Source organism: Homo sapiens, chromosome 9 (assembly GCF_000001405.40).
Source record: "Homo sapiens chromosome 9, GRCh38.p14 Primary Assembly".
NCBI classification, from domain to species: Eukaryota; Metazoa; Chordata; class Mammalia; order Primates; family Hominidae; genus Homo; species Homo sapiens.
Genome location: NC_000009.12, coordinates 87,843,146 through 87,856,681, shown reverse-complemented (window position 1 = coordinate 87,856,681; position 13,536 = coordinate 87,843,146). Strand labels below are relative to the sequence as shown.

The window sequence follows — 13,536 nt, the reverse complement described above, 5'->3', positions numbered from 1 at the left end:
TTTTTAATTAAAAAAAAAAGAGATGGAGACCATCCTGGCCAACATGGTGAAACACCGTCTCTACTGAAAATACAAAAATTAGCCAGGCATGGTGGCTCCCTCCTGTAGTCCCAGGTACTTGGGAGGCTGAGGCAGGAGAATGGCTTGAACCTGGGAGGTGGAGGTTGCAATGAGCCAAGATCGTGCCACTGCACTCCAGCTTGGCGACAGAGCGAGACTCCGTCTCAAAAAAAAAAAAAAAAAGTAAGACATGGCAAACTGCAGTGCCACCCAGCCTGCCCCTGCTGTCTCCACACCTGCTGAGACTCCCTGCCCCCGGCCACTTACACTTCATAGATCCCAGCTCCTCCTCCTACCTCTGACTTGGCCCATGTGGCTGCTGGGCCCCTCACCCTGCCTGTCCCTCCACCTTTGCCCACACCAAGAATTGAGTTAAATTTGATATCCATAATTCCTAACTCTTCCCTGGCTCTTCCCACTGACCTTGCCCCCATTTTGGGGGTTCCACCTAATGAGAAAGGAGGCTGCCCTCATTCAGCTGCAGTTTCAGTGCGTCTGACCCCTGCCCCACACCTCCTAGCCCCGCATCTTTCTCCTTCCAGCCTCCCTTCAGATGGGAGCCTCCTACACCCATATGTGTGCATTCTTCTCCTCCTCTTTCCTCCCTGACTCCTCTCCCAGTCCCTTCCACCGGGATCCCTGATATCACCCATCAGCAGATGAATTCCACAGCAGCCATTTCCACCATCACAGCAAGGGCATCTGACCACCTGACCTTGCAGCCTCCTTTAGGCCCTCAGCTCTTTGCTATGGACACGACTCCTGCTGTGATTTTCAGATCTTCACCAAGCTCCAGAGTGAGCACTCTTAATTTCCCAAATTCAGTGCACAGTAGAGGCACCCTGGAAAGACATCAGCCTACGTCTGCCCGGCTACATTCATATTCTCCAGCCCTGCCCCTCAGCCCACACTTGGGGCCCCCTGATGGGCAGCAATGAAAAACCTTTGTCCCCGGTGCCCTGTTTTTCCGAGCCTTCCCATCAGGGCTCCTCAAGGCACCTCCAGTTTAGGGAGCAGCGCCTCTGCAACATCCTCCTCCAGAACAGATGGTGCGATGGGGGACGGCACCACAACTGCTGTGACTGAACACAATTAGGGTCCCCACTCAGAAAGAGCACCTGAGACCCACTGGTACACACAGGTGGTACGATGGGGAACAAATAAGCAGCAAGTCTCCCTCTACATATGGTCCCCATGAATGGACACTGCTCCTGGAGGAAGGGGCTCAGCCCCTCGAAGTTAAATTTAAGCTGCTCTCTCCTTACGGAAGCCAGAGGCCCAAAACCTCAAAGTATGTGTGTGTGTGTGTTGGAGGGTGTGAGGCTGATGAGCCCAATCAGAACCACAATGTATTTGAGACATTTCCCTCTGGACAGAAGCAGCAGCCAGCATGTGTCATCATCAGCTGTGCCCTCCCTAGCTTGACTGTTCATCTGGCTGACCCAAGCCCCCAGCCAGGTTTCTATTCTTTGCACTGGCAGGATGCCCGCTATTTACAGGTGCCCCCTTCCCCTTGTCCATTTACTTTGATGGGCCCTTCTCTCTCCTGATTGTGTGTCTTAAAACCTTATTCTTGTTGCTCTGCCTCTGCTCATGTGTGTATATATTTTATTATATCATATATTTTAATTTTTATTAAATATTATATATAAATTATATGTAACCTTAAAACTAAAGATAAAGAATGTATGCATATAGATATCTTGCAACAATAAAACCTAGAGAAACTTGCAGATCAACAAATATAGGGGCCTCATAAAATTCAAATGACAATTTTAATGTAATGGAAAAAAGGCAGAACAGTCACTCCCCTCCGCCGTGAGAAAGTGGCACTCCCTGCCCACGTGCAGACTCTCCTGACACCCGCCTGTTAGCGGCCTGCTTTGCAGTAACTGGATGCTTCCACCACTTGTCCTTATGTAAGTTACACAGAGGCTTTCTTTGTGCATCCTGTAATGAAGTCTTTTGGCCTTCACTTGGTGAGAACACAATATTTCATATTAACTCCCTGTGCATTCTTTTTTTAAAAAAATATTTCTCCATAACAAAGAAAATGTCACTCCCTGGCACCAAAAAAACTGTTAAATAGATAAAAATACAGGCCTTGAGAGGATATGGAAGCTCTCTGTTACGTCAATCATCCAAATGAATCAAAATATGTTGATCTTTATCGGTTATTCCACATGTCCAGCAATATGACCCTGTAGGCACCTCATCTCCTCCATTAACATTTTATTTACAAAATCAGACTTCAGGCCAAAGCTGGCTATGCTTTGCTAACCCCTGTTCTAGTACAAGAGACATTCAACAACTAATTACAGAAATAACAACTGCTAAGTGCTATCAAGTAAAAGTTCCCAATGCTTAAAACTCTCTAAGAGTAGAGATTTAACCTATGCAGGGAGATCAGATTGCCCTGAGGGAGTGAGTCTTAGATTTAATGTAGTTAATTAGTCAGGCGAGGGCAAGACTACTCCAGATGGAGGAAACCACCTGGGGAAAGGGTTGGGGCAGAAGACAGCCTGGCAAACCCAGTCTGAAAGAGGCTTATGGAGTGGGAGCAGGAAGAGTAAGAGCCAGTGCCTGTGAGCTCAGGCTGAAAACAGCAGGGAGGCCAGCCCTGTGAGGTCCTGTGGGTCTTGTGAGGGAATCAGGTCTCTGTTAAATACAGAGACTGTGGCACAAGAAGTAACATGCTCAAGGCTGCACAGCCTGCACAAGGGAGCTGGAAGCCTCCTCTGTTCACCTCCAGACTCAACTTCCATATTCTCTTTGTGTTCATTTTGGTTCTAGGCTTGCCCAGTGTCTTTACAAGTTTCCCTCCCCGCAATTCCAAAATCTTTCAACAAAACGAAAAGGAAAGGGAATTTTGTCTGCACCTAGGCTATCCTATAGTGGCTATCCTATAGGATCCTATAGGGGTTCCTATAGGGGATCCTATAGGGGATCCTATAGGATCTAGAGGACTGGGGAGAGCTGTGTTCCCGCTTCTCCTTTCCTCTCTAATGCTCCCTTATATGGAGTCTTAGCAAAGCTTCCTCTGTCCTCGATGTCAAAGGAGATTTCAGAATATCGCCTGGGCTCCTCTTCCTGTGTTGCCATGCCCTCTGAGTCTCGCCCTGCCCACCTCTGCACTCTGTCCTCATTGTCTCACTTCCATGCTCCTCTTGGGGACACTTGCACAGCTTGCTGCCCCGTGAATGCTCCATGTCCCCTTTTCAGTTCCAGGTTGTTCCTCTGCTGGAAGAGCACGTGCCTCGCCTGGCCTCTTTGTCTGGACACCTTCTTTTCTTTAAGAATCCACCCAGGAATGGCTCCTGACGCTTCCAGGTCTGCAGAAAGCCATCCCCGGCCCCTTCCTCACCCAGCCTGAGCGCTGTTCTCCCCTGCAGTGCCCACACAGTTCCCGGTGTGAACGGCTGACATCCCGTTCACATCGGCCTCCTGTACTGCACCCTGAGCTTGTGAGCTCTGTGACAGCAAAGGGCTTATGTGAAGGGCGTTTGGCACCTTCCACATGGAGGTGAACCCATTTACCTTGTTAATTCCATTTGCTCCCACCTCTTAGGTACCTGCATATTTCTATCCTTCAGATTTCCTAGCACTGGGCCTTATAACAGCATTTCTTAAAATGGGGTCCCCAGTCCAACAGCATCAGCATCACATGGGAATTTGCTAGAAATGCAACTTTTGGAGCCCTCCTTGGACCTCTGGGATCTAAAACTCTGCAGGTAGGTGCAGCGTTCTGGGCTTTCATAATCCCTCCAGCTGACACTAAGGTGGGCTAACGTTTGAGAACCACGGCCTCCCAGGAAGTCATTGCTCATGAGATTGTTGATTCCCTGAGGACAGTAACTGGTTATTTTCAATCTGGAAAAGAAAAACAGTAACTGAGGAAATGATAAAGAAAACTTTTACTGTAGAAGAAGAGTTTTCTGACTTGATATTTCAAATATGTGACTTCCAAAGAAGGCCTAGCTTTGTACATTTAAAAACAAGGTTGATTCTGTCTGGCTCAGTCTACCCCAGATGTGGTTTTGCTGAAGGGCAGGTGTTTGGAAGAGATAGCCTTACCAGGTGCCCTCCATTGCTCAGATTCTCTGCTTCTAGGATATTCTATGTACTATGAAATAAACATAGGCTAGAGAGCAGGGCATGATTGCTAGGGGAGTAAAAAGATGGTTTCTGCTTTGCAGGATGAAAGTATTCATGGATGGATGGTGGTGTTGGTTGCATAAAAATGTGAATGTATTTAATGCCACCAATCTGTGCAGTTCAAGATGGTTAAAATTATCAACTTTATGTTATTTATGTTTTACCACATTTTTAAAATAAAAATAAAAAGATAAAGCTGGAACCTAAAAATGCCCAGGTAACAATAAAGCTGGCAGAGTAACGTATAGGACTACCCATTGTATTTAGAGCAGCCCAGCAAAGCAGAACCCCCAGAGAAACGGGGGATAAGAAAAGTGAAAGATTGTTATTTCCAAAATAACCACCTATAAGGTGGTCTTCCTAGTGGGAAGTGATTGTTCCTTGGCTCTTTTGTTTGTTTGTTCGCAGGGTTTTTGTTCAGTTTGAATTCATATATGGGAGGATGTCATAGTCTTTGCAGGCCTTTGGATTCTTGAGAACTTAATCAGGCCAAGCTGTTCATGAGTAGTAGGGTGCTCAAATTCATCCTTCCAACAAGGGACTGTTGGGTACCAGTATGGTGCCAGCCCCGTGCTGGCAACAGGGATGAAATGCCCAGTGAGGGCCACATCCTGGCTCACCTACCAGGCCATGGGCTCAGCTCCACAGCTGCCTGTGAAATTTGCTTTCAGGAGCAATTTGTAGAGATTGTAGCTGAGGTTTGGGTGGCAACCTGAGATGCAGTCCAACTTTGTCATCACAACCAAAAGTCACTTGATGAGAGGCTCCAAACAACACCTGGAGCCCATGACCCAGCAACTTCCAGATGTTGAGTTGGGACAGGGGATGGGCTTGTCTGCTCCAAATGAATGCCCTGGCCAGAAAAAGTAAACTAGGGAGGCACTCTTGAAAGAGGGTGTTAAGGAGCAGTGAGCCCCCTTCCACCTCCACCAGGAAACGTCCCCAGGACAGACAGCTGCTGACCTTTTTCTGGAAGCTCTGGGCCTCAGAAGGTTGCTGGTTCCTGCCTACTTGCTCCCAAGGCATATTCTTGATCAGAAAGGAAGGAAGTGCATGGGCGTGGGGAGGAGGGGCAGGGAAGAAGTCACAGGAATGCCCACAGCAGAGGTCTGTGGGGACGCTGGGCTATCCCTGGTGGCAACACTCTTGGGGCTGGCGCTGGGTGAGGATGGCCTCACAAGCACCCTATGCTGTGACTCCAGCCCCCAGGATCCTCCTCAGGGTACAGAGAAGGAGCTCAGTACCCTGATACTGTCTTTTCCCATTGAAATCACAGAATTTTACAACTAAAGAGAACTTCCAGATGATTTGAGTCAACCACACTCTTTTGGGGGCTGGAAGCAGAAATGAAAAGATTTAGACAAAATTACACAGTTCAATTATTAACAATTCGGACTAAGTGTAAGGCCATCTGACCACAACTGAGATCCCCTGATGCTACTCTACTAAGTGTATTATACTGTGGTGTGTATGCATGTGTGTGTGCACATGTGTGTGAATATGTGTCAGGAGTACATGTATATACATGTGTATTGTGTAAGGGTGTGAATATGTGTGCATTTGGGTATCTGTACATAAGTGTATGTGTATAGGTGTGTCTTGTGCATACATGTTCATTTGTATAATGAGTTTGTGTGCATGTACATGTGTGTGTATTGGGCATGTGTGTAATTCTATGCGTTTGTGGATGCACATATATGTGTATTTGTGTGTGCTTAGCGAGGGCTTCGCTGGCCATAATGGCTTGTTTTTCTGGCCAAGAGACTTGATTCTCCCTGATTCAGCCTTGAGTGTGTATTTCCAAGGATCAGGGTGACTAACCAGGACATCTGGAGAACTTTCTTCTTCTCTGCCCCACCCATCCTGCCCATTCCATTCTCGGGTGTCAGAGGCTGAGGCTCTGGCCCCTGTGTGAGCCCCACAGGAGGTCTTCAGAGCCCTCAGGTTGCCTCACAGCTGGCAACCATTAGCATCTTTCTGTTTTCCAAGAGGGTGAGCCAGGGCTGCTCCTGTCAATGACAAGATGCTGGGACCTGGATTCATGTGCAAGGAGAAACCAGGCACTGAGGGGCTGAGGGTCCAGCTGCTGCTGGGCTGGGAGTCAGCAACCTCTGTGCTTCCAGGGCTTACCCTTCCTGGCCATGGGCAGTGCCCCTTGGCTTTGCGGCAATTTGAGGCAATGAAAGTTTTTATTTCCTCTAGCTGCATTTTCTAGATATATTTTAATGTAGCTGTAATCATACAAAATGTTGAATTTTTTGTCCTGCTTTTAAAAAGATTTTAATCAGGTTAGATTAGAACCAAGCACTTTGGGAGGCCGAGGCGGGTGGATCACCTGAGGTTGGGAGTTCGAGACCAGCCTGACCAACATGGAGAAACCCCATCTCTACTAAAAATACAGAATTAGCCAGGCATGCTGGCGCATACCTGTAATCCCAGCTACTCGGGAGGCTGAGGTAGGAGAATTGTTTGAACCTGGAAGGCAGAGCTTGCAGTGAGCCGAGATCGCGCCATTGCACACCAGCCTGGGCAACAAGAGCCAAACTCCGTCTCAAAAAAAGTAAATAAATAAATAAAAACGCCTAATACTTATTGAAAGTATAAGTATAGAAAAACTTTAATTATGTTAATTATGAGATTTTTAAACTGTATTACTGGAGAAAAGAGACCAAATCTCCTCGTAATACTTTTCTTTATCAATTTATTTAATGATAAAGATGAACATAAGCATTTGTGCAATTCAGTGTTTAAAGTTTGCCAAGGTATATGTATACATTTTTCCCAGAACTGATGCTATGAGAAGCCCAAGCCATGGAGAGGCCCTAGGCAGGTGCTCTGGTCAACAGCCCAAGCTAAATGCCCAGCCAACACCAGCATCTGCGGCCAGCCGTGTGAGTGAGCCTTTGCAGATGTCTAGTCCCGTCAAGTCCTACAGATGTCTCCAGCACAGATAGAGCCTACAGATGTCTCCCCATGAAACCACACAGCCAAGTCCAGGCAGAAAATGTGAAAGATGTTTCTACAAAGCCACTGAGTTTCTGGGTGGTTTGTTTTACAGTAATAGAGTAATAGAAAACCAGAACAGTAATAGAGAACCAGAACAGTCTGTTCCTGCACTCTCCAGTGGTCCTCCTATGTTCAAACACTCCACTTAGCAAGCTTCATCACCCAACACCTGGACCTAATCACTCTGCAGGGTCTCTCACTGCAGAGTCATTTCTCAGGGTTACTGATGTGCTAGTCTCTGCTAAGATGCTCACCTCTTCACCTTCCCTTAGTGACTGGCTGCTCTGGTTGATGTTGGCTTTCCTTTCCTCCTGGAAGCCCTCCCTCATTACCTCCCTTTCCCTAACAATTCCAGCTCTTTGAGGTCAAGACCTCTCTCTTCCACCATGGTGATAACCTGCATATGTTGGGTGCTGCATAAATTCTAACTGTATCAAATCTAGGACCCAGCCTGCACAGTTAAGGGATTTACCTTGGGAATCTTCCCAATCTTCTTGCTAACATGGGCTACCTTTATTATAAAATCCAAAGAATTTCACAGTTGCCACTTTTGTCATTTTATGTCAAAAAGATGGTTTTAGCAACGACTAGGGAAGGGCACATAAGAGTCCAGCATGGCACATGATCCAATTCAGATGAACTTAAAAGGAGCCTGCTGGAGGCTTTGTGGGATGAGACCCCATTGTCCACCTAGTTTTCTTCCTGCAAGATTATGGCGTCTATTCACTAAACACTTCTAACTATCTTTTATATTTTTTTCAGTGAGAACACGAGACTTTTGAAAAAACACAGACGATGAAACTATGTGCTCTTTCAGCCAATACAATGTGGGAAGTTTTTCTGTTTGTTAAAATAATTCAGGTCCTTACAGGGTAGCTTGGTGTAAATGTGGCCACAGACTCTCAGTTTGGGTCCTCTCATCTGGTCCTCCACCGTCTAAGGCCAGCACACCATTCCTGAAGCCCAGCTTCACACCCTGGATTTTACCCCTCATCCCTTGAGGACCCGAAGACAAACAGCCTTGTCAACGCACTAGTGCTTTGTCTCACCTCAACTGCAAAGTGGCCATGGGGTCTTCACCAGCAGCTGGGGAGGATGCTCCAGAAACTGGCCCTGATAGCTTTGCCCTGTAACTTGACTGGATTGCAACCACTATGGGTGAGATAAACATGATCTCTAAGGCTCTTTTTCAGTATTGAAATTACATGTATGTCTGATCACTTTAAAGAAAAATGTGAATTTTTTCTTTATTAAAACAATTTTCCTTTGTCCTTATGGATCATTTGTCATATTTTGCTTCAATCAAGAGTTGGGTCAGACACAACCACTGGGCAGCTGACACGAGATCTGCACATTTGTTACTAGAAGAGCCAGAAGGCCACCCACTGTTCCTCCTAGTGAACCACTGGCAGAGCAGGTATGGCTTAGAGCCCAGTTTCATGCTTGACTACTGATATGGTTTGGCTGTGTTCCACCCAAATCTCATCTTGAATTTTAGCTCCCACAATTCCCACATGTTGTGGGAGGGACCTGATTGGAGGTAATTGAATCATGGGGGCAGGTCATTCCCATGCTGTTCTCATGATAATGAATAAGTCTCATGAGATCTGATGGTTTTATAAGGGGAAACCCCTTTCGCTTGACGCTCATTTTCTTTTCTTTTCTGCTGCCATGTGAGATGTGCCTTTCACCTTCCACCATGATTATGAGGCCTCCCCTGCCATGTGGAACTGTGAGTCCATTAAACCTCTTTCTTTTGTAAATTGCACAGTCTTGAGTATGTCTTTATCAGCAGCGCAAAAACAGACTAATACAACTACACAAAAAAGTCAGTGCATCAAAACAGAAAGAAGCCCCACCAGTACATTTGAAATTACATTTTAAACAGGTAAAAATGTATACATCCTTTTAAAATGAAAATACAAAGTAAGTGAATCAATAATACAAACATGTTTATAGCAGTAATAAAAATAGAGGTAATATTTACCAATGTGAAAATATCACAGAATTCCAATCACACTTGGATCTTCAATGATTGAAGTGTGCATTTCACACAGCAGGGGCTGGTAGATTGAAGATCAGTTCCTCCTCTGGATGTGCCATCCTCAGTCGAGTCCTTCCTCATCACCATCCATCAGCTCACACAGTTGGGTAGCTGGCTGCTGTGGTGATTCCACAGTTGTTCCTCCGGTCTTTGGCCATCTTTATGTAGCCATCCATGCCCCAGTTTTTACCCCAGCTGAAAGGAGAGCAGGTTTTCCATTTCAGAGGCAGGATAAAGCACGTTGGGTTATTAACTTAAACAGTGTGCCAGAAGTCACAGGCTTAACATAAAGAAACAGGAGATGCTGATGTTCCTGTTCATCCCTTATAAATTCTTGAGTCAAAACCTGCATATCACTTCGATCCCACACCCAAAACTGTGACCTTTCATGGAACTGCAAAATCAGAAACAGAAAAAGGATAGGATGTCTTTCCAGCCAGATATGCTTCAGAATTAAGAAAATGTTCAGAATTTAGACATGCAATGGGACAAATACTATATTAATATCCCCAGCATGCTTGTGACAGTATCTAGATGTTACAATCAATCATTAATATTCTGTGTTCTGCCTAAGGGGGATGAAGACTTCTGGGATTTCAGAAATGTGATTAAGGGCTTGTGGTATGTAAACATTGATTGCAAAAAAGGATTCCCTTTTGAATTTCAACTATAAGTCTTTCTGGCAATTTATACCTGTTCTTCACCAGCCAATATTTGTTATCCGAGTCTGATCCTTCATAGCCATAGCCAACCACCAGCATAGCATGATCCAGGCCTTCAGAGTCACAGCGTGGCTCAAAATAAATTTCCGAGAGAATAAAATGAAGGCTGGGTGAGGAGTTCCCGAGGACACCTGAGAGTAACCCACCCTGTCACCCACAGGGAGGGAGGCAACTCTAAAATCAGTGAAATGACACACAGTCCAGATCGGGCTTAACAAGATCTATTGTTATCAAGGCTAGGGAATTAGGCTGTCATCCACAACTAGCAGAAATAGAAATTAGCATAAGTCCCTCATAAAAAAACTTTCTTACAGGCATAAAAGACCACTCATTTTAAGCTTGTAATTCTACTCTAGAATATCAATCTTAAAAATAGCACAGAACACCAAAATCCTTGAATCAAAAGGCTCTTTTCAGATTTAATCACAAAAAAAACTTTGGAAAAATTCTAAGAATACAACAATTAGAGAATATTTAAGTAAATTAAACTATACATAACATAGCTATTTATAAAAAGTTATGAAGTACATGTATTCATGGACATACGTTCAACGTAATATCAAATGGAAGCATTAGGTATGATTATTGCGTGTATAGAGTCCATCATGCTGGTATGTCATGGTGGTTTACTTTTTTTCTGCAATAATTTCTATGAAGAAAGATGCTTACCTTTTTTTATAGAACTGGAAGGAGACATGGCTTGCATCAACAGCAACAGAGATGGGCCCCACAGTTGCCACTGCCTTCGCCAGGTCCTTCTCCCATGAAGGTATGTCCACAAAGCCAGTGTCATTAGCAACAGAATACTTGGGATTGTACCTACAGGTTTTAACCTTTTAAAGGTTAAGAGGGAGGAGACTTGATTACTACCATCCTTCTCCTGGGGAACATGAGTCGGAACCACAACACTCAGCAGTTTGCAGCATAGAATTTCCAAGTCAACACTCTTACAAATCATCCAAGGAAGTGAAATGTAATTATTAATAGTTAATTTGAAACGGAAAATTAGCTCAGTTCTCTTCAGTGAGACCCCTAGGTTTACTTTCCATAAGACATTTTTCACAATGGAGATGTGTATTATATGTAGAATGGTTTGTATATTCTCCATGTTACATAGAAGCAAGAACAGCTGCATGTTAACCATGTAATCACAGAACTGTGCAAAGGCTATAATTTATAATGACAATACTGACAGTTTGCAGATAGAGATTCCACCATCTAAAATGGGAATTCTGAAAAGTGTCTGTTATCTCTGAAAGTGTCCCAGTAAAACAAAGCAGGAATGGCAGCAAGAAAAGGAGCTCCATTTACCTTTCCTTCATATGGATAGGAGGCCTCAGAGTCCAGGTCTCCGTTCTCCTCAACATACCAGAAGGAAGTATCCATGAAGCCACCATTGCAGCCCTCATTGCTTTGAGGACCAGAGCTACCAGATTCTGCTCACTCAGTGAGATAAGTTTGCCTGTTTTCTAGAACATCTGCCCTTCCAGCATACCAGTTGTACTAAAAGCCCAACAAGAGCCACAATGACCCTGAAAAGAGAATAAAAAAGCTGATATCCACACACACACACACACACACACACACACACACACACACAGAGCAAGACTTTTAACAACAGCTCATATATCTAAATACTCCTTTAAAAAGTGAACTGCATGTTGCAGCACAGTCTAGCATAGCACAAATGTCAATTGCTTCTTGGCTTTCCTGGGGTGATGGGAGGTCTGAACCTAACACAGTCTCACCTGATCCTTCACAGGACTCATGTAGCCTTTCTCTCTCCAGTTCACAGATGTGGGGATCTCAAGAAGCAGACGTTCCTGGAACTCTTTCCCCTTCCTGTGCTTCTGGTATTGAAAACCATTCATCACCTGCCTGAATTCTTAATTAGTCTTCAAGGAAAAGTAAATAAAATGTTAAAAAGCAAGAGATTGATTTGGTAAAGAACTGAGGAGAGGAAGCACAGAGTTCAGCAGTCCACAGCACACTCACCATGTCTCCAAAGGCGTTCATGGCTGTTGTGAAGCTGTGTTTCCCTTGGCTGTGTTCCTGATTGTGCTGCTCAATCATCTTCATGTTCTCCCACACTGCTCTCCTCCATCCTTCTTCATTCTAAAGACAAACATGTAACTGATGCTCTTTATTTCTAATTAAAACCCAGCCTATGCTAACCAAGTGAATCTTCAGACAGAGATGTAAGAGTAACCATGGCAGGGGAAGGCTTGACACCTCTGGGAGATGTTCTCCAAGCTGAGACACAACAAGGGTGTATGCCCATATCGTGCTCATAATCGGTGCTATTAAGTTATTGCATTAGGTTATTGGTAAGAGCTGGCATCTAGAAGCTACTTTCTGGCCGTATGATCCCAATAGCAAGGTCCATCTCTCTGGGGTTCCCCTGGACAGTTTCAGATGCCACCAACCATGCCATATAATCTCTTGTGCTTTGCCTTCCACTTGGTCCATTGTTCATCTAAACTGTGGTCACGTGTTACAGCAGCTGAGGCAATAGGCAGCCAGGAAGAGTGAAGGGTTCATGTTTCAAAAATCTGGGAAGGGAAAAGAAATGAGGATCTGATTAGACTAATCCGAAAAAGTCATCTTACTGCCCCCTGAGAAACTAGGGCCACCATGATAGAATAAAAATATTTAAATTATTCTCCCATGCATTTACCTAAGGACTGTGGAAGAGGCCAAGGATCTGGTTGGAGAAAAACAAGGCAAGTGGAAGTATTGGATGGACTCACCAAAATGAAAAGCAGCCTGTCCAGAGCTGTAGGAGCTGAAACAGTTTTATGGGATGATAATTTAGGCTATGAAAAGGATAGGAAGGTACCTTATGGGCGAGAAGTTAAAGGCAACAACCAGGAAACTAGGAAACCGTTGGCCCAGGTTTTGTACCAATTGTGCTGAGGTCATCCAGGCAAAACCTCACTAATGAAGACATCTAATTTCAAGAAGGGACAAAGGGATCCCCAATAATTGGGAAGTCACTTCACACTTTGTTCTTGGCTAATGCATAGCAGAAGGTGAAGTATGTTTTCCAAACACCCCTTGTAACGGAAACAGTTCTTGAATGTCTTCCCAGGAGAAACTGGGAAGGAGAGCACCTATCTACCGCCGCTCCCGCAGTCCTGCAGTCCTGCAGGGGCCAGTCCTGCCAACACTCCAACTCCCCTCATAGAGCATAAACCCAATCAGGTGGCCGAACCGCCAGAAGCCAGAGTCCCCAGTGTCCGCGCCCACACAGGGGTAGGCAGCTTCCCAGGCTTTGGGCTGGGGACCCAGGCCAGGTCCCCTGCCTCTTGCTTCCACCCCCCGCTCATGCTCACTGTGGCCCCAGGAGGTGGGTGGTGGTGCAGGGAGCAAGCGGCGCCTCTGCCTGATTTGCCCGGGTCGAGCCTCCCTGTCCCACCCCACCAGCCCTGGGAATACTGCGGCCTGGCACTCCTGAAAATCCCTCACTCACCGAGCTGAAGGACTTGCTGGGTCCCTGGTGGCCCCTGTCCAATCTCAGCCCACTGGGGTCTCAGCTGCAGTAGCCAC

General features: G+C 45.5%; 1 long non-coding RNA gene and 2 pseudogenes across 3 annotated transcripts; 2 read left to right on the top strand and 1 right to left on the bottom strand.

Annotated features, from left to right (window-relative positions):
* Window positions 96-1,102, top strand: NPAP1P5 (nuclear pore associated protein 1 pseudogene 5; annotated as a pseudogene).
* Window positions 3,050-12,165, top strand: LOC112267903 (uncharacterized). 2 transcript variants are annotated; one of them, XR_930087.2, is made up of 6 exons: window positions 3,050-3,791; window positions 7,984-8,379; window positions 8,529-8,638; window positions 8,900-8,953; window positions 10,669-10,756; window positions 11,776-12,165. It is a non-coding gene; the product is annotated as an uncharacterized LOC112267903 (long non-coding RNA). The 2 variants fall into 2 exon arrangements; XR_001746818.2 differs by lacking the exons at window positions 8,529-8,638; window positions 8,900-8,953; window positions 10,669-10,756; window positions 11,776-12,165 and having other exon boundaries at window positions 7,984-8,396.
* Window positions 9,258-11,937, bottom strand: CTSLP8 (cathepsin L pseudogene 8; annotated as a pseudogene). Its single transcript, NR_033405.1, has 3 exons — window positions 11,736-11,937; window positions 10,657-10,820; window positions 9,258-9,460 (listed from the first exon to the last, which is right to left on the bottom strand). The product of NR_033405.1 is annotated as a cathepsin L pseudogene 8 (transcript).
* Window positions 12,166-13,536: the final 1,371 nt, after the last annotated feature.